At 44.6% G+C, this 18849-nt stretch overlaps 1 protein-coding gene and 1 long non-coding RNA gene across 5 annotated transcripts in view, besides 10 other annotated features; one reads left to right on the top strand and one right to left on the bottom strand.

Moving 5' to 3' along the window:
• Window positions 1-579: 579 nt before the first annotated feature.
• Window positions 580-18849, bottom strand: part of LOC124902436 (talanin) — a 28368-nt gene continuing 10098 nt past the window's right edge. For 2 of the 4 annotated variants that reach the window (XM_047426120.1, XM_047426118.1), the window contains exons 2-6: window positions 17660-17747; window positions 17109-17223; window positions 16104-16194; window positions 6388-6461; window positions 580-2383 (exon numbers count right to left, since the gene is read on the bottom strand). In XM_047426120.1, coding sequence (XP_047282076.1) covers window positions 2289-2383; window positions 6388-6461; window positions 16104-16194; window positions 17109-17223; window positions 17660-17747 — 463 coding nt within the window. In that variant the 3' untranslated portion in view covers window positions 580-2288. Of the gene's footprint in view, window positions 2384-6387; window positions 6462-13918; window positions 14588-16103; window positions 16195-16958; window positions 17224-17659; window positions 17748-18849 lie in introns of those variants that run through there. The other 2 variants (XM_047426121.1, XM_047426119.1) reach the window with 2 other exon arrangements.
• Window positions 1964-2133: an enhancer, noted in NCBI's record as "experimental_13723 CRE fragment used in MPRA reporter constructs". NCBI's record gives its function as "activates a minimal promoter by MPRAs in K562 erythroleukemia cells, with activity observed for the introgressed 10:64430302 variant allele {active_cell/tissue: K562}" and the evidence as "EXISTENCE:reporter gene assay evidence [ECO:0000049][PMID:34662402]".
• Window positions 1964-2170: a biological region, named in NCBI's record as "Neanderthal introgressed variant-containing enhancers experimental_13720/13722 and experimental_13723".
• Window positions 2001-2170: an enhancer, noted in NCBI's record as "experimental_13720/13722 CRE fragment used in MPRA reporter constructs". NCBI's record gives its function as "activates a minimal promoter by MPRAs in K562 erythroleukemia cells, with activity observed for both the introgressed and non-introgressed 10:64430265 or rs729738 variant alleles {active_cell/tissue: K562}" and the evidence as "EXISTENCE:reporter gene assay evidence [ECO:0000049][PMID:34662402]".
• Window position 2085: a transcriptional cis regulatory region, noted in NCBI's record as "Neanderthal adaptively introgressed variant 10:64430265 (GRCh37/hg19 assembly coordinates) or rs729738 in the experimental_13720/13722 CRE". NCBI's record gives its function as "modulates activity of the experimental_13720/13722 enhancer by MPRAs in K562 erythroleukemia cells {active_cell/tissue: K562}" and the evidence as "EXISTENCE:reporter gene assay evidence [ECO:0000049][PMID:34662402]".
• Window positions 13320-13489: an enhancer, noted in NCBI's record as "experimental_13703 CRE fragment used in MPRA reporter constructs". NCBI's record gives its function as "activates a minimal promoter by MPRAs in K562 erythroleukemia cells, with activity observed for both the introgressed and non-introgressed 10:64418946 variant alleles {active_cell/tissue: K562}" and the evidence as "EXISTENCE:reporter gene assay evidence [ECO:0000049][PMID:34662402]".
• Window positions 16312-17511: an enhancer, noted in NCBI's record as "BRD4-independent group 4 enhancer chr10:64414839-64416038 (GRCh37/hg19 assembly coordinates)". NCBI's record gives its function as "activates an origin of replication core promoter dependent on BRD2, P300/CBP, MED14 and CDK7 cofactors, and independent of BRD4, by STARR-seq in HCT116 cells {active_cell/tissue: HCT116}" and the evidence as "EXISTENCE:reporter gene assay evidence [ECO:0000049][PMID:35650434]".
• Window positions 16585-16664: an enhancer, noted in NCBI's record as "active region_3427". NCBI's record gives its function as "activates an Ori minimal core promoter by ATAC-STARR-seq in GM12878 lymphoblastoid cells {active_cell/tissue: GM12878}" and the evidence as "EXISTENCE:reporter gene assay evidence [ECO:0000049][PMID:35858748]".
• Window positions 16715-16764: an enhancer, noted in NCBI's record as "active region_3426". NCBI's record gives its function as "activates an Ori minimal core promoter by ATAC-STARR-seq in GM12878 lymphoblastoid cells {active_cell/tissue: GM12878}" and the evidence as "EXISTENCE:reporter gene assay evidence [ECO:0000049][PMID:35858748]".
• Window positions 17005-17234: an enhancer, noted in NCBI's record as "active region_3425". NCBI's record gives its function as "activates an Ori minimal core promoter by ATAC-STARR-seq in GM12878 lymphoblastoid cells {active_cell/tissue: GM12878}" and the evidence as "EXISTENCE:reporter gene assay evidence [ECO:0000049][PMID:35858748]".
• LOC105378327 (uncharacterized) overlaps window positions 17005-18849 on the top strand; it is a 31382-nt gene continuing 29537 nt past the window's right edge. The window contains exon 1 of the long non-coding RNA XR_946002.3: window positions 17005-17164. This is a non-coding gene — a long non-coding RNA (uncharacterized LOC105378327). The remainder of the gene's footprint in view (window positions 17165-18849) is intronic.
• Window positions 17082-17251: an enhancer, noted in NCBI's record as "experimental_13694 CRE fragment used in MPRA reporter constructs". NCBI's record gives its function as "activates a minimal promoter by MPRAs in K562 erythroleukemia cells, with activity observed for both the introgressed and non-introgressed 10:64415184 variant alleles {active_cell/tissue: K562}" and the evidence as "EXISTENCE:reporter gene assay evidence [ECO:0000049][PMID:34662402]".

The raw sequence follows: 18849 nt of genomic DNA, 5'->3' as shown, positions 1-18849 counted from the left end.
GCACATATACACTATGGCATACTATGCAGCCATAAAAAATGATGAGTTCATGTCCTTTGCAGGGACATGGATGAAATTGGAAATCATCATTCTCAGTAAACTATCACAAGAACAAAAAGCCAAACACTGCATATTCTCACTCATAGGTGGGAATTGAACAATGAGAACACATGGACACAGGAAGGGGAACATCACACTCTGGGGACTGTTGTGGGGTGGGGGGAGGGGGGAGGGATAGCATTAGGAGATATACCTAATGCTAACTGACGAGTTAATGGGTGCAGCACACCAGCATGGCACATGTATACATATGTAACTTACCTGCACATTGTGCACATGTACCCTAAAACTTAAAGTATAATAATAATAAAAAAAAGTGAAAAACTAAAAGGATGAAACAAAACCAGATTCCAAAATGTCTAAAAATAAAGAATTGGTTAAATAAATTATGGTGCATCCATTCAAAAGAATAAAGAAATCCTCCAAAACCTCCTGTATCATAGAAGACTATCTCATGATAAAGAAAGAAATGCATTATACAGTATATTGCTTCATGAACAAAAGTTACAAAACTGTATACACTGTGTAATCCTGTTTTTATTCAAGAAGAATAGTATGTACAGGCACAGAAACACCTGAGAGCAGATAAGCCAACATGTTAACAGTGGTTACTTCTGAGTGGTGGTATAACACTTTCTTGCTTATCTACACTTTTACAATGACCTTACACACACACTGCCTATGGTACTTTTGCAACAAGAATCTTTTTCTAAAAGGTGTACTATGTTGGCAGTTCGATGCAGGGTTGGAGCGCACGGGCCCTTGGGTTGGGCAGATGGGTTTGGCTCTACCCATCACAACCCTGAAGCTCTGCATACATTTTTGTGAGCCTGACTTGCCTATCTGCAAATGCATGGTGGTTGCCATGAGAATTAAATGAAATAATCCCTAGAAAGTCTGTGCCTAGCACAGAGTCTGGCCCATCAGTAATAGCTCCACAATGTTAACCAGTAATATTGAAAATAAATATAACCAATGTTTACAGATGTTTACCTTAGAAGTGATTCTTCTGGCTACTCAGTTAGGTTTATTTAGGACCATGTCAGAAGAAGATGGCCACACTCTACAATTGTGGTTACTCACATTGAACCCATATGGACAGCAAGGAGGGGTGAGGAGGAGTGCCCAGAAGCAGGCTGGGGCTGAGCAGAAGGTTTCCTAGGGCAAACCATGAGACTGACAGATTCCCTCTACTGCCCACACCTTATTCCCCTCCCTCCCCTCTCTCACCCTCCCACCCTTTTCTCTCACCTTCTTCCCACCACTTCCTTGCTATTTTGGACTCTGAACTGTAAATTCCGTTGAGGCCAGAGGTTATGAATTAGACAGCTGTCCATCAGTTCCCTCACATGAAGCATGTTATTGGACCTAGTTTATAGCTACCCTCTTGGCTGTTATAAGCAGGGGGACCTATTGGAGACTTCCCCACTGGGTGGGGCATTAGAGGACAGTGCTAGTGATGGGAATGGAAGGGAAATGCAGACATAAGAGATATTTAAAGGGAAAATGAAAGATCTTGGTGAAGGATGAAGAGAGCACAAACTTTGCATCAAACTTGCAATCCCAGCTCTAGTATTTTAAAGCTACTTTTAGCTTTATTCTCAGGCAAATTATTTAACTTCTCTAAGCCTCTGTTTCCTCATTTGCAAAGGTAGACAATATTGTCTACCTCCTTGCTTGTTGTATTAAATGAGGTAAGGTGTGAAAATATCCAGCGTGGGACCTGGAATTCCATTTAGATCCATTTCCTTTTCCTCCCTCTGAGCTTTGAGAGCATGGTTGCTAGAGGAATGGTGGAGCCCTTCAGAGATGTAGGGAAGTAGCAAGCCAGCTTATTCCATGGGTAAAGAAGACTTTGACTTGGGGCATGTTGACTTTGAGGTGCTGTTAAATCCATCTGGCAACTTAGTGAGGGATAGGCACTAGTTTCTAACCCACCTTCATAACTTATACCCATTGTTATGGGAGGATTAGGAGGAGATGATGGCTTAGAAGGTGTCATGGTTAATACTGAGTGGCAACTTGATTGGATCAAAGGATACAACGTATTGATCCTGGGTGTGTCTGTGAGGGTGTTGCCAAAGGAGATTAACATTTGAATCAGTGAGGGGGAAGTTGCCAGCATGTTGTAGAGGCTCTCTCCCAAGTGGATACAGGGCAGGGCATCCACAATCCACCACCATGGCCTTATCACACTGTCTTTTTCACCTGTTTTCTTCTTATTTCTGTTAGCTGCTTGAAGGCAAGCCCCAAGGAAAGCATATGACACCGTGCCTTACACCTAACAGGTGTTCAGTCAACAAATCGATGATTGTCAATTTGCCTATGAAGACAGAGAAAAGGGAGAAAGATTAGATTCAATAACTGGAGTTCCTTGTTTAAAGCCCAAGACTGGGCTGGCCCAGCTGGCTGCTGTGAAACCCAGCTATCTGGCTAAAGCAGCACACTTCTAATCTAGATTATTTTAATCATGCAGATATTACCTAGAAGTTCAGAGAGAGAAAGAGACAGCATGTTCTCAGGAAAAAAATATAAAAAACAAAAAACAAAAAACCCCCTGAGTTTGAGCACAAGTGGGAGAGGATTTAATGAAGGCACTTACATGTGGGACTGCAGTCTCCCATGAATGGAGCAGCATGAATTGCCCTGGCAGGGCTTCCTTAAGACAGGGCACTGGCCCATCCAGTCACACAATATTTATGCTCTTTAGACTTTAAAAGTATGTTTTGTGGTCAAAAGTGCTTCCACCCTCGACTTGCTGTGGGTAATGATTGCTAACTAAATAAAATAAAACTAAAATGCTTTAAAAGGTGTGAACCCCTGCAGAAAACTATACTAGAACTTGACTGCTATGGATTGAATTGTGTCCCCCAAAATTCATATATTGAAGCCGTAACCCCCAATATGACTGTATTTGGAGCAAGGGCCTATACAGAGCTAATTAAGGTTAAGTGAGGTCATAAGGTAGGGCCCTTATACAACGTGATTCATGTCCTTATAAAAAGAGGAAGGGAGACCTCTCTCCATCAAGTGAGGACACAGAAAAGATACAGATTCCTGAAAGCTGAGAAGAGAGCTCTCAGCAGAAACTGAACTGGCCAGCACCTTGACCTTGAACTTCCCAGGCTCCAGAACCATGAGAGAATAAATCTCGGTTGTTTAAGCCACTCAGTCGATGGTATTTGGTTATGGCAGCCCCAACTAATACGCTCATTCTAGCCCCATCCCAGCGGCCCAAGCTGAAGTCCCAGAAGTAGTGTTAGCAAAATGAATCTTATACTAGAGCAGGGCTTTCTCATCTAAAAGTTTTATGATGTTCTTCATCACAGCTAAGAGGAAGAATTTGGCCAAGAATTTTTATATCCATCCCAGAATCAGTGAGCCAAGGTCGCCTAGCATGTTGCCCAATGCCTGGCTCATAGTATAAGCTCAATAAGTGTTTGGTGGTTGTAACTTTGGAACATCCCAAGTTTAGACTGGAGGTATTTTACCTCCTTTTCCTGGGCTCTTCAGCACTGCCTTTTCTCTAATGTCACTTAATAGGTGCTAAGAAAGTGCCTCTCAAAGCTACCTACAATTATAATCTGGGTTCAAATTCCTAACTGAGTGATCTTGGGCAAGTTAAAAGTCTTGGTTTGGGCTCCTCCAGAAAAGTTCAAATCTGAGTAGGTTATTTGGGAGGGACAGGAAACACTAGTGTGGTGGTAGGAAGAAGACAGGGAAAGAAAGGCAGACAATGGAGTTGCATTGTCAAGAAAGCTGCCACCGTGGACCATTGAAGCTTACTGCATGGGGGACTGTGGAAGCCAGCATAGAGCACATGCCTCAGAATCAAATCCCATCCTGCCACCACAGGGCGAGGGAGCCAGGGCATTTATATATCAACTCCTGCCAATTATTTGTTGATAGCTGCTCCTAGAGGAAATCTATTCCCCAAAACATCTGGCCTGCTGCGTGCAAGAACACACCAGGCTCCAGAGGCCAGTGGAAGCTCTCGGGCCAAGATCTTGCATTTGGAAGATGAGCTGGTAGGTGCTGAAATGATGAGGGCCAAAAAGATGTGGGTGGGGCACACACAGCATCTCCCATCTATAAAAGGAAGTCTAGTACCCTATTCCATTAAATGAGTTTGTTGTTGTAACACACTTGGAACAGTCTATCGTATATAAATGTTATAAGTGTGTGTGGCAGATTGTATTTTTCATATGGGGACACAGTAATTTTCTGGTCCCACATGCTCTGCTAGAACCTTGCCACTCTGTATTCTGGGTGGAGTCTGTTTCCTCTCCCCTTGGACCCAGAGGGATTTTGTGACTTCCCTGATGCACACTTTGTTGCAGAAGTGAAGCTGCTGGTTTCTACAGCTAGGTCATGGAAGGTGATAAGGACCGGCCTGCTTTTGTCTCTCTCTCTCTCTCTCTCTCTGTGTGTGTGTGTGTGTGTGTAGAGAGATAGAGATAGAGATAGATACAAAACACACACACACACACACAGAGAGAGAGAGAGAGAGGATCTCTATCCTGAAGCCACCATGCTGCAGAGATCACATGAAGAGACAACGTAGGAATAGAGAAGTCCAAGAAGCCTCAGCTGTTGAATTCCCCAGCGAAGTGCCACCTTGAGTATAAATGTGTATACATCTAGTGATGATGCCTTTGATATGACCCTAGCCACTAATGACTAATGACTAGCCACCTAATGACTGCAACCACCAGAGAGAACCTGAGCTACATCTGCCCAACTACCCTCAACCTGAATTCCTGATCCACAGAAACCTCGAGAGATAATAATGATTGTTATTTTAAGATGCCACATTTTGAGATAACTTCTTATGTAGCCATAGTAACTGGAACAGTGCTTGATAAATAAAATAAATATAATCTCACCTCCTCAACTTATAGGCCCTCCTCAGATAGTAAATGAAATCTTCATATTCTAGATTCCACATTTAAGCAGGTGGGTCTAGCTCAAGCTAATGTTCTAACAATCAGATCTTGACAAGATTAGACTTTGCAATATGCAGAGGGTTTAGCTCTGAACTGGGCATTGTGGTGCTTCCTCAATGTTCATTGTGATCATCTTCCATTCAGGGGTATCCTGCATATCTGGTCACTCATCCCTACCTCCAGCAGGAGGTCCTGAATGGTCCAAGCCATTAGGGAAATTCAAGCATCTTGCCACAGTGATTGGACCACACAGGTGAAGCATAGCCAATCAGTACTTGGCTTTCCCCTAGGATTGGTTAGGAATGGAATAATCCGCACCACATCTGGGACTGTTGCTGAAGAATCTAGGGCATAAAAGCATTCTTTCTCCAGGAAGTGTTGGATTCAGACACGCATGCTGGAACCACTGCAGTGATTTTGATACCATGGGGGAAGCCAGCCTGAGGATGGAATCAACACACAAAAGAGGCAAGGCAAAGAGAATTACAGAGAAATGAATCTAGAGCCTTAATAAAATCATGCTTAAAGCCCAGAGTAGATCTACACTTTCAGGTGTGGGAGCCAAGATGTTGCTTTCATTGTTTAAACCATCTTAATACGGATATACTATTACTTGGAACCAAATGCGTCATAATTAATTCTGGTAGCAATGCGTCAGATATTGTCACAAAACTTAATCCACTCCTATTCTACAGAGTTAGAAAAGAGGATCAATGTATAATCTATATAAACCTTTTCCAGCACTTTCTCTGGACATTTTTGTATGAAACCTTGAGTTTTGCCAATAAAATAACTACAATTTTCCTGGCTATATCTTTGATATAAATGTGCATACATCTAGTGGGTGTATTAATTTCCTAGGGGCTGCTGTAAACAAAGTACCACAAATTGGGTGGCTTAGAACAACAGAAGTTTATTGTCTCACTGTTTTGGAGAGCAGAAGTCCAAGATCAAGGTGTCCACAGGAGCATGCTCCCTCTGAAAGCTCCAGGGAAGGATCTGTTCCAGGGCTCCCTGAGCTCCTGGTAGCCTCAGGCATTCCTTGGCTGGTTGATGGGTGTGTTCTCCATGTCTCCATGCATGTCTTCCCTCTATGTGTCTGTCTCTGTGTCCAAACTTCCTCTTTTCACAGTATACGAGTCATATTGGCTTAGGGCCTATTGTAACACCCTCAGATTAACTTGATTACTTTTTTAACATCCCTATTTCCAAAGATGGCCACATTCTGAGGTACTGGGAGTTAGAATTTCAGTAATATCTTTTGCCGGTGGGGAGGGGGATGCAATTCAGCCCATGACAGTAGGGTAGAGGAAGTGGACAAGGAGGGTGTACATGAGGAGGACAAGACATCAAATATAGGAAAGTTAAAAAAAATTCTTACCAATCACACAATTTTGGAGTTGTCCTAGTGTAAGAAGGCTGATATTCCTGCTTTGACTTGTAGAGACACTTTCTCTGCAGAGATACAGGGATAGAGATGAACACAGAGCCTGTGTTGCCTCTTTTTTGAAGCCTAGATGTTTTCCTTACAACAATTTCTGTTTTGTTGGGTGGTTTCTTTTTTCTTTCTTTCTTTCTTTTTTTTTTCGAGGGAATACACACAAAGCTTTGACTTGTATTATTCTCATTGCATCCAACTGAATGAAATTTATGAAGCCTCTTGCACAATGTATTCATTGTTTGGGTTGGGATAATTGAAGTGTCAGGAATATTTGCTTATTGAAAACAACTCAGGACAGCTCTATGCACCCAACTGGGCCAGGGCCACAAGACATGCCACATTCTGGACAGCTGTGTTCTATTGTCTTTTATAGCAGGGGCACCTTCCCAGGTAGATTAATTTTACACCTGGGAAAGAGCAGTGGGTTAAGAATTAAAGGGCATTATTTCTAACACAGACTTCACAATTCACTCACTGTGTGACTTTGAATAAGTCATTTAATGTCTCTGGACTTCAGAGTTTAATGGACATAAATAACATGGTGTTTTCTACCTCATAGGGATACTGTGTAGCTCAAAAAGGAGAATCTATATGAAATACTTTAGAAATCATAAAACATCATGCAAATGTGTATCATTTATAATAAAAATTAATCATGTCTACTTCTGCTCAAAGTAGAACTTTGAACTAAGGAAGAAAACGAGCCAATGTTCTCATTATTCTCCATTTTCTCTCCAAGATCCATTCTCCGCACCTTTCTGACCTGCTCTGTGCCTCGGGAGACTGAGCACTACAGATTGCATTGGCTAGACTTCCTTGTCTTGTGGCTTCTGGGTCATTTGGCTAATGAGAAGTGCTTATAGGAAATAGGGAGGTGGGAGGAGAGAAACATTGGGGTATTTATTCGTCTTGCTCTTCTGGGCAGTAGCTATGTTCTCCTATAGCCACCACTCCAATTGGGCATCTGGTTCTACCCCTTTGGCCCTCTCTAGGCTTCAAGTAACTCCATTCCCTCTGCTCCCCTTCAGGATGAGGAGGATGACAGTGTATGAATGTGGCTGGTCCTTGGTGCCTGACTCTGCAAACGGCCTCTGCATCATCACTCTTCAACACTTTGAATGCACCATCTGGTTCTTGAGGGACTCTGACGCATGCAGCATCATGACCATGATGTGGGCAATAGCTCAACTCTTTCTGAGGGAATACTCTCTCTCTTTGGGAATGGTCTGAGTTTTCTCTTTTCTTTAGCCATTGAGCAGGTCTGCAATGTGATGTTTCCCTTGTAGAAACAAGCACCAGTGGATCAGGAAGAACTATAAGGATTGGAGGTCTTCACTGTCTTCCATCAGCAATTGGAAGGTTTCGTTAGGTTTCCCTGGAGGCCAGGCCTCTGTTCTTTCTCTGGTACCTCCTGTCCCTCCCTATATTCAGGCATTTTCCGAGTTCAGTCTGCCCTTCTCTGGAGGTTACCCCCGATCTTTCCTCTGCCCTCATCTCTTGCCTGTGCCTTCAGGGCTCCTCAGTGACTCTCCATGTGGAACACAGCCTCTTTTCTCTTTCCACACCCCAGCCCTGGCTTCCCTATTTCTGTTCATGCTGCCCAGTCATGGAATTCCGGATCATCTCTCATACCTCTAGTCACTCCTTAGGTGCAAGCAGGCATCAAGAACATTGCTTTCTCCCTTCCCACGAGTCCCTGCAGTCCTCCCTGCACTCTCAGTGTCTCATTACTGGACCTCTTTCTAGTTCTGAGTTTCTGTGACAGGATGTCCAGTCAGCCTTCCTGCCTACAGTCTCTCCTCAATCCTATACAGACGATAGACTTCTGCCACCTTCGTTTTCCTAAAACTTGGCTTCCATTGTGCCCCTTCTCTCTATGAAAACCTTCAGTGACTCTGCTGTCCACCATACAAAGTCTGAACTCATGACCCTGGCATTCAAAGCCCTGCACAGTCTGCTTCTTAACCTACTTACTACCTGACAAGCCCACTCTGCTCTCCCCGCTCCCCTGTGACTACATCATGGGCTTTCCAGCCTCTACTGCCCCAGAAATGCTGCCCTCCTCCTTCCTGGTGTGAATCTTGCCTATTCTTCCAAGCTGAACCCCAATGCCACTTGCTCTCTGAAATCTTCCTTGACCACTATAAGTGACAGTGAGGCATCTTTTCTTTCAACCCCTCTTCCTTTTCTTTCAAGTTCCAGGACATATTTGCTGAACTGATCTTCGGCTCCTAAGAATGTTGTTTGCGTTAGCCATTTGAGGCTTTTAGCTCCCTGACTTATATTGCTGTGCTGTTAGAACATGGTTTGAACACATGTATCTTGCATAGTATTAGGCCCTTACTATTTACCGAATGAATATATGAATATGGGAAACACATCAGCTTATCCAAACTGCGGATCGTTAAGAGATTGGACACATATATGTATTTTGCAAGCTCATAGGTCCCTGGCACTAAAGTCATGCATCTACTCAGGTAGGCTTTGGGTCTAAAAAGGAACAGGGATGATGATCACCAACATTAAAATATCTACAACTTATTGAATACCTGCTGTGTGCCAGTGCTTCACATGCAAAATCTCTTTTCACCTTTATAACCAACTTATATTAGTATTATTACTAACTATACTTTATGAACCAGGAAATGGAAGTTCAGAGTGACTAAGCAAATAAATCTAGTGGGGGGCAAGGCTGAATTTGAACCTGAGTCTGAGAATGCTCAAGTCTGTTTTGTCAACCAATCAGCAGGCAGCCTTTGGAAGTATCCTGCAGGAGCCCCCGGGAGTGTTGAGTATTAAGTGTGTAATGCATATGTAGCACTTTTCTACCTTATCTTCCTTCCAGTGAGGGCAGGAATCCTATCCTGCTGCTGTCTGTATCTTCACAGTGATGCCTACGACTTGGCTTTGCATATAATCAGCACTCACTAATAATTTATTAGTTGATTTTTGGCTCTCCTCCACTTCATACTTGAATTTCAAGTGTTTTGTTTTGTTTTTGAGACAGGGACTTGCTCTGTCACCCAGGCTGGAGTGCAGTGGTGCAATCATGGCTCATTAGAGCCTTGAACTCCCAGGCTCAAGTGATTTTCTCACCTGAGCCTTCTGAGTAGCTGGGACTACAAGCATGTGCCACCATGGCCGGCTCAAGTGTTTTTGTTTGTTTGTTTGTTTGTTTTTGTCAAAGGATCTGGCCAGGATCGCACTATAGGTTTGAATAGAAATTCTCTTTCCACTCCACCAATACCATAAAATATTTAGTTAACGTAATTATTTGTCTCTAGAGGTCTCCCCTTGAAGGGGCTTGGTACTGTGTCAACTTAGCTAAGTTGGAAATATTTCCCAGAACTGTCTTCCCTGTGTGGTTGTAGACTAGGACTGACCACAAGAGAAATTTGCATGAGACTGGGAAGGCAGAAGGGAAGGAAGCGGTAGCCACTCTTTGTGGATTGGTGTAGGTGTCAGGCAGGCCCCATAGCTCATGCTGACCTAATGGTTCATCCTCTTGCCATGGAGCAGTGCCTGGGCCTGCAGCTCCTTCAGCTCCTACCCAATCTCCTCCTTCAGATTCTTGAGTTGCAAACTTACTGTGTGTGCAGTCTCATGGAGAAGGTGTTGGCTTCTGCACGTTGCCCACATTGTCAAAATTGGAGGCAATAAGAGGCATACGTGGGGTCCACTCTGCCCTCATTGTTCTGAGGCAGGAGAATAGGGTCTGAAGGCAGGGAATGGAAGGCCAATTCATGCCGACTTCCTAGAACTAAATCAAAAGGAAAACCCCAGCTTTCCATGCCCAAGTAACAAAAGGACCAGAGGCTACTCCCTTTGCACTGCCCCCAACTGCCCTTCTGCGTGGCAGGTGAAAAATTGAAAATAGCTCTGATCAGTCCCCTCCTGCAACCAGTCAGACTGGTCATGGGCCAAGTCTTCATTTGTATAGGGCGTAACTTTGTAACTTCACTTCAGCCTCTGATTGGTCACTTTCTACAACAAATCAGACTGGTTGCAGGCCACTACTTCATTTACATAGGGTGTACACCTGGTAATCAATGAGAAAACTCTAGAGGGTATTTGAAGGCCAGAAAAATCTGTAACCAGGCTCTTGAGCTGCTTGCTCAGGCTGGCTCCCGCCTTGTGAGTGTGCTTTCATTTTCAATAAATTGCTTTTGTTGCTTCGTTCTTTCCTTGCTTTGTTTGTGCATTTTGTCCATTTTCTTCGTTCAAGATGCCAAGACCCTGGACACCCTCCACTGGTGACAGTTCTAGTTTTTCTCACGCTTCCAGTTAATGTTGCTCTCCTTACATTAGATCCAGCCTTCTTTCCTGATTACTAGAGCTGCCCAGCTACAACAGCTTTAGGCCCCCACCAGGTGCAGAAGAAGTTTGCCATCACCCCCTTCACCAGCTCTCACAATCGTGCTCATCTTAATAACAAATCCCTAGTTCTGTATCACTCAGAGTGGCCCTGCTTCTCTGATTGAACCCTTGTGGATTCATCCCTCTTCCCTGAGTCCCCAGGATATGGTGTCTCTGGTCACGTGGCCACCTCAAAGAAATGTGTTTATGGTAATTGGGCAAAGTCACTGTTAAAGCAGGAGGAAAACCTAGAATTGGCGAGCTTCTCACTCTTACCCTTTCCCTCCCCACAAGGCTATGCTGTTTTCCAAGGCAGGAGCTAGATCCATTTGTCTTATGGTGAAAACCAACTTAAGACACTTCAGTATTATTCAAGTCTCTACCTGCCCCAGCAAACCTGGGCTGAACTCAGCTCTGATGTCACCACTTTTTGAGGTTGTGTAGCCACCTTTGACCTTTAGTGGTTGTTCTCAGATATCACTGGCATCCAGGGCACCTGTGCATGGAGGTGGACTTGTAGTTAATCACAGGTGGACTAGAGTACGAGGTTGCCTAAGGGGCTGTGTCCCAGAGCGTCTGAAGACTGCTCTTCAAAGGTATCTGCCTTTGACCAGGTGTTTGAAAATCTAAAATGTCACCATTAATAAGCCATCCCTGTGGATTACTCTTCTTGGTGTCTTGTTATTAAAAAGCCATACACCTTTGATAAAAGAATCATTTGCAGAGTGTAGTAGAAAGAATGTGGTGTCTGGAATCAGATGGCTCTGAAATCAATCTACTTCTGCCATTTAAAATAGCTATGAGGCTGCAATAAAATAATTATTTAACCTCTTCACGCTGCAATTTCCTCACCTATTAAAGTGAGGATAATAATATCCAATTTGATATCCAAGACAACAAATGTGAAAATATCTAACCCAATGCTTGGCACATAGGTGACCCTGAATGAATGTTAGCATTTACTCCTGATTTCCTTTCCTTGAACTAAATAATGCCTTGGAATTGCTAGCAAGGCCCTGCATGGGCATCATTGCTGTTGCTTTCTCATCACAGTTGGGATCTAGTGGCTGAGAGGGTGAGGGTCTGCTGTGTGTGTGCATATGTGTTTCAGTAGGATGGGGGGGAGAGAGAGAGAGCACAGGTTAGAGTTAATAACTAGTTTTAGAAGAGAGATTAGGTTATCAGAAGAGGTGGTAAGTTTGTTTCGAAAAGCTAGCTTATTTCCATCCACCTTTCTCCATTTCCATTGCCACCATCTTAGTTCAAGTTGCCTTCTCCTTCCTGGATTACTTCAATAGTCTTATCTGGTTCTTCTGACTGTTCTGATCTCTTTTTACTTTATTCTCTTCTTGGAAGCCAGTGATCTCTTTTAAATGTAAATCAGATCTTACTTAACCCTCTGACCCTTTCCATTATACTTGGCATTCATCTAAACCCTAATCACGGCCCGGAAAGTGCTCTATAGCTTGGCCCCTGTCTACCTTCCTCCCTTAGCCTTCTCTCCCTCCTACCCTCCCACTCAGTAACTTTTATTTACACTAGGATTCTCCCAGCTCCTTGGGGCAGTCAGCTCAAGACCTTTACTCATGCTCCTCTCTCTCTGTCTCACTCACACACAGACACACGCACACACACACACATGCTTCCACTTCCATGTTTTTCCATTACACTTAATTCTGCTGGCTGACTCCTACCCAACCTTCACATCTTTATTCAAATGTGATTTCTTCAGAGACTTTCCTGAGTTCCCAAACAAAAGTAGGCTTCCCTCTTGTTCTTTCTTGTAAAAGACCTCGTGTATGTCTTGTATATTTTTCTTCTTATAGTCTCTATCACATTTCGAAGTGATAGAATTGTGTGTGTTGTTTCTTTCTGAAGTGTTGCTTCCCCTATAGAGTGAGTCCACGACAGTCCCATTTTCCCATTGTGTTGCCACCAGCCAGCCCACTGCCCGGCACAAGTCTCAGTAGTGCCGGTTTATGATGAACAAACACGGTGTCACCCTGGGACAAGTCTATCTGTATGGGATTCAGATTTTCTCCTTAAAAAGGAGCCACAGTTCTTTAGTTTGAGTCTTACAAAAGCCACCCAGAAAACCATACATCCTGTTTACCTCTATATTAATTTTTTGTTTCCTACTTTTTCATTTTTAAATTGAGACATAATTTGCACAGAGTAAACCGTACAAATATTAAGTGTGCAGATGGTGAGTTTTTGATACATACACACCCATGGAATCATTATTCCAATCAAGATATAGAACAGTCCAGCATCCAGTAGGCTATTTCGTGTCTTTCTAATTCCATAACCCCTACCTGCACACTAGATAAGGTAACCACTACTCTGATCTCCTTCTCTGTGGATTAGTTTTGTCTGCCTCAAAATCTTATGTCAGTGGAATCACACAGTGCATATATTTTGGTGGCTGGCTTCTTTGGCTCAACGTGTTTTGAGATTAATTCAAGTTGCTGTGTGTAGCAATTGGTTTTTTAAAAAAATTATTGAGTTGATGAGTTGTCCTTCATTGAATGTTTAATTTCCCCATTTGACTATTGCTGGACATTCAGTTGATTCAAGTTTGGGCAATTATGGACATACTTACGTATGTCTTTTGGTGGACATGTCTTTGGGTTTAGAAATAGGAGTGGAATTGGTGGGTCTATACATCTTTAAGCCAGGCTCTTTTGTCTTCTGCCTCAGCCTTCACAAAATCCTGGCATAGCTCAGCCATAATTTTCCAATGTGATAAGGCAGAGGTGGTTATCTACATTGTGGCAGGCTTTTTACCTGCAGGAATCCCTCATATGACTTTTCTTTAAGTTCATCTCATGGGTTTCTGTGAAGGTCATTTAACTGTTTGATGCTGAGTCTGTGGTCATGATAGTGTCCCGGAAAATGTCACAGGATCTTTAGGGTGTCACTCTGCCAGCTGGAAACCTCTGTGGCCAGTGGAACCTTTGCCCAAGTTTTCCTCGGGACCGCTGGGCTCATTCCACCCACTTGACCCAGCAGGCTGCATTCAGCTCTAGCTACTGGCCAGATTCCATGCCTGTCAAGGGTGAGCCATGTGCAGAGTGGCGAGGGATGTGTGAGTGTGAAGGGTTTCTGGCCACTGCACACAGCCAGGCATGCTGGCTGCAGTGGGGAGGCCAGCTCCAGGTGCTGGCTCTGTCCGTGGCTGATGGTGGACCAGGCGTACTACAAGCGGCTTCCATTGTGGGCACTGAGAAACGCAGTGGTGCCCAGAAGCTTGGAGACACCAGGAACCACAGAGCCCTAAAGAAGGTGTCACAACGCTGGCCTGGGGAGCCCCCAGGTCTGAACTCCTTGAAGGGTCACAGCTCTTCTCTCATTATGGAGAGCGGGGTTTGTGTTTTACCCCTGTTTGTATTATAGCTCCTTCAGCCCCACCATTTGGCAGGTCCCAAGTTTTTGTCTTGCGTCCAGGAAGAATGGAATGCCTGGACAACTGGAGGGCGAGCAAGGTGGAGAGGAGCTTCACTGAGTAACAGAGGAGCTCTCAGGAGACACAAAGTGGGTAACTCCTTTCCACAGACAGGTCGTCCTGGCAAGTGTCCAGCTCTCAGTGGAGAGGAGACCCATGGTGGGTAGCTCGTACCTGCAGGCAGGTAATCCTGAAGAGTCAAGGATACCGGAAGTGGGTAGCTCCTTCCCACAGCTGTTAGTCCTGACTTCTGTCTGAGTCTGGCTGAGTCCAGCGTTTTAATGGGCTCAGAAGCAGGGAAGTGTGTGCTGATTGGTTCATGCTCAGCCATGGGCAAGCCTGGAAAAAGCACCATAAGTTCTCACTCTGGGCTTTGGACTCCACCCGGAACTGGCAGCCTGGTCCCCAGGATTCAGGCTGTCCTTGGCTTGAAGGTGGAGTTTCACTAGAGACCTGCCCCTTTCTGGCCAGGAACCTGCCTGCCTCTCACCATCAACATGCCGTCCATGGCGCCTTGGCTGTTTGTGCCAAGGGGTGCAGGCCTGCGCTGAGCCATCTTCAGCGCCCCCAGCCTCCCTCTGGCACTGTTGGTGCCCAAAGTCCGGAGGAGGCCGAGGTAGGGGGTGGGCTGCGGGTCTGGCATGTCAGTGCTGCCCTGAGCACCCGCACCCTTGGCCAGGTTGTGACAGTGCACGGGCTTGGACACAACTTTGCTCCAAAATCAGAGCCGGCGCCGGGAGTGGGGAGAGGCCAGGGAGCAGGAGCAGACATTTCCTAGCCTGCAGGGGCAAGGGGGGCTTCCTGGCCCCAAGGGCAGAGGGATGCCTGGGTCCAGAGCTGCGGCTGGTCACTGCAGGGGCACCCGAGAGCGCAGGGCTCCCTCCCCACCAACTTGGTGGGGACCTGGACTCCCACGTGTTCCTGGCCCCGGGTGGCTCCACAGAGCACGCAGCCCTGGTTGCGCCTCCCCTGCTGCAGCTGGCATCCCCCCAGCGGCTGCTCCAGATGGGCTGCTGCCACCATCAATAGGCCAGAACAATTTAAAATCATAATCTGAAGGGCTCCTGCCATTGGAGCTTCATCAGACACCACGATAAATTGTGTCTAAAGTAGTAATCTGAGCCAGTAGGAAAACATTATTCTATTCATTTAAATCACTGAGTTACAGACACATTTCATGGGAATGTTTTTCTAATTACAATGATCTTAAGATAATTTCTTTGGCTGTTTCTATGAAATGCTGTAGCTATTCCTGATGTATTATTTATTCATTGGTTTATTGCCAGGAGTAATATTGACTGTTTGCTCTATCCCTGTCATGGGAGGCTTTCTGACATAACTGTGTAGTAATTTTTTTCCCTGTCTACAGGAACACATAGGGTTAATAAGTTGTGGCCATTAGACAACATTCACCAAATTCTGGGTGCCCTTTTCCCAAAAGATAAGCTACAGTGAAGGAAGAAGTGTATAATCTGCAAATTCACGTGCTAAAAATCTCCTTCTCTAGAAAGGATATTTGCTTGTTGTTTTCATGTTTCTCCCAAAGAATTTACAAACATTTTCCTTAATTCCCTGCATGAGACCAGAAAATTTCAGCTTTTGCCCCAGGCAAGGGAATAAATACAGTTAGAACATGTTTCCCATTTGAGGCAGTGGGCCACTTCTCCCCTAGACCACAGAGGGCCCACCTCTCTGTCTCCTCTTAAGAATTCAAGAGGCTTACCAGCCTGGGAGGCTGGGACCACCCAGATGGAGATGAAGTGAACTTTCAGCAGAAAGAGGGAAGCACCTGGAAAATACCTGGATTCTGCTTTGAGTGGAAATGCAGAGACAACCACATGTTTTGGACACCCACCTCTCAAAGTCCTGGAGTCCTAAGACGTCCTTCTCATTGTGATGAAAAGTCCCTCCACAAAAGGGAAATAGCACCCAAATTTGGCTAAATCCTGAAACAGAATTAAATGACCACATTGAATTCTCATGATAAGTCTTTGAGGAAGATGTCATCATCATCCCCAATTAAAAATTTTATATTTTTACTTTATTTTATTTTATTTTTGAGATGGAATCCTGCTCTGTCACGCAGGCTGGAGTGCAGTGGTGCAATCTCAGCTCACTGCAACCTCGGCCTACTGTGTTCAAGTGATTCTCCTACCTCAGCCTCTCAAGTAGCTGAGACTACAGGTATGCGCCACCACACCCAGCTAATTTTTGTATTTTTAGTAGAGAAGGGGTTTCACCATGTTGGTCAGGCTGATCCTGAACTCCTGACCTTAAGTGATCTGCCCACTTTGGCCTCCCAAAGTGCTGGGATTACAGGCATGAACCAATGTACCTGGCCTCAATTCAAAATTTTAAACTGAGGCTCAGAGAGGCTGAGTATCCTGACTGAGGTCACACAGCTTCTAAGTGATAGAATGGGGATTTGAACCCAGGGAGCCCAACTCCAGCCTGAGGGATTGAGAAAGAGTGAGCTCCAATTCAGGGTGTCATCTTCCCATCCTCCACTCCACCTTTTTAAGCCTCATCTGAAAATATCATGCAAGATCACCTTTACCACACAGAGGAGAGGAAGAAACAAATAAATATGGGGGAGGAGGAAATGGAAAATAGAACTCCCACTGGGGTCTAGCTATTAATATGTCTGCCCTGTTCTGACACTTGAATAGGTCTGGTTCTGAGTCTGCTACTGAAAGGAACCAAAAATGACCTTGAATTGAAACTCCTGCATAGGGAGGTGCCGTGATGAGCTCGGAGAGACCACAGCACGACTCTGCAAGTGTATTCAGCACAACGTCACGGTTGCTTCCAGTTGGCCAGGGGGATGCTGATGAGGTGGTTTCCAGATCTGATGAATTACCTGACTGCCAACGCCAAACTTGGGTTTTCCTCTCTGCAGGATGGAGAGGTTGGAAGGTGAGATGGTCTTTCCAAGGGGGAGCCTGTTTCATCAGTGGCTTCTTTAGATGTGTTGACTTTGTGGAAGAACCCCAGTTAACAGGAACATAGGGAGGGGTTTTCTTCAGTAAGTACCAATGTCAGCCAATCCCTTACCTCTTTAATCTCATCTCCCATTGTTTTCTCTGCTTTTTCTGCCTCAGCACACTGGCTTTTTACTGTCCCTGGAATATGCAAGGCACACTCCTGCCTCAGGGCCTTTGCATGTGCTCTTTCTGCTGCCTGAAACCTTTCCCCCAGATACTCCCATGGCTTGCTTCCACTCCTCTCATGCCTTTCCTCAAATGTCCTCTTCTGAGTGAGACCTTCCCTAGTTATCTGTTCTAGCAACAATTGCATTGTCAACTCCACCTCCCTCAACATGCACACATACACATTCTCACTCCCCTTCCAGCTTAGTTTTCTTGTTAGCGCACTCCACCTTACAATCTCCTATGCATAATACTGACTTACCTTGTTTTTGACTGTCTCCCTTAGCTGAAGGTAAGCTCCGTGCAGGCAAGGATTTTTATCTGTTTGGTTCCTCTCTGTATTCCAGCACCTAGAATAATAAGTAGCTAGTGCTCAATAACAACATGTTGATCCATGCGCAGTGGCTCACGCCTGTAATCCCGGCACTTTGGGAGGCCGAGGTGGGCGGATCACCTGAGGTCAGGCATTTGAGACCAGCCTGGCAAACATGGTGAAACCACGTCTCTACTAAAAATACAAAAATTAGCCGGGCACATGCCTGTAATCCCAGCTACTCAGGAGGCTGAGGCAGGAGAATTCCTTGAACCCGGGAGGTGGAGGTTGCAGTGAGCCAAGATCATGCCACTGCACTCCAGTCTGGGTGACAAGAGTGAGACTCTGTCTTGAAAAAAAAAAAATTGTTGAACGCGCAAATGAATGAATTTATTAATCCTAGCCCTGAGATTTAGTAACCAGGCAGGCTGTAAAGAGTTAGTTAACTTCCTTTCTAAGCTTCATTTCTGCAACCATAAATTTAGAATGAGAATTCCTATTCTCCTTGTGAGCTGTGCTTTTTCAACAGGATTACAAAAGGGCACACCCAGCACAGTACTCATACGGACTCAGTAAGAACTGGCTTAATGACTGTGCGTTCAGTGAAAGAATTACCAATAACAGTGGCAAGCGTTTGTAGAGTATTTCTATGAGCCAGGCACTGTTCTAAGCATGTATGTTTATTAACCCATTTAATCTTTACAACATCCTGAAATGTATGTGCTATTATCATCATCATCCTAGCTTTAAAAATAAAGAAACTGCAGGGGTAACTTTCTCAAGGCCACATGACTAATAAATCACAGAGCCTGGATTTGAACTCAAGCCCAACTATCTCCAACATCCATATCTTACCCACTTCAGCATACTGCTTCCCTATAGCAAGAAGATGTAATTTACATAACAGAGGCACAGGAAATTCCATTTAAGTCATGAAACCTCCTATTTACAAATTTGAGTTTTTAAACTTGTAAGATGTCTTCTGGGATCAAATGTGATGATAATTCAATTTCTAAATCAACTGGAACAGATGGAGGCCAAATTGTATTTAACTCCAAGCCATGCAATATCTTTGGCCATGAAATGCTACCATTGTGGAGATGTTTGTAAATTATGTTTTATTTAGACACACTCTGTAT

The sequence above is a fragment of the Homo sapiens genome, chromosome 10 (assembly GCF_000001405.40).
Source record: "Homo sapiens chromosome 10, GRCh38.p14 Primary Assembly".
NCBI classification, from domain to species: Eukaryota; Metazoa; Chordata; class Mammalia; order Primates; family Hominidae; genus Homo; species Homo sapiens.
Note: the sequence above shows the minus strand (reverse complement) of the source record. Positions and strands in the feature narration are given on the sequence as shown.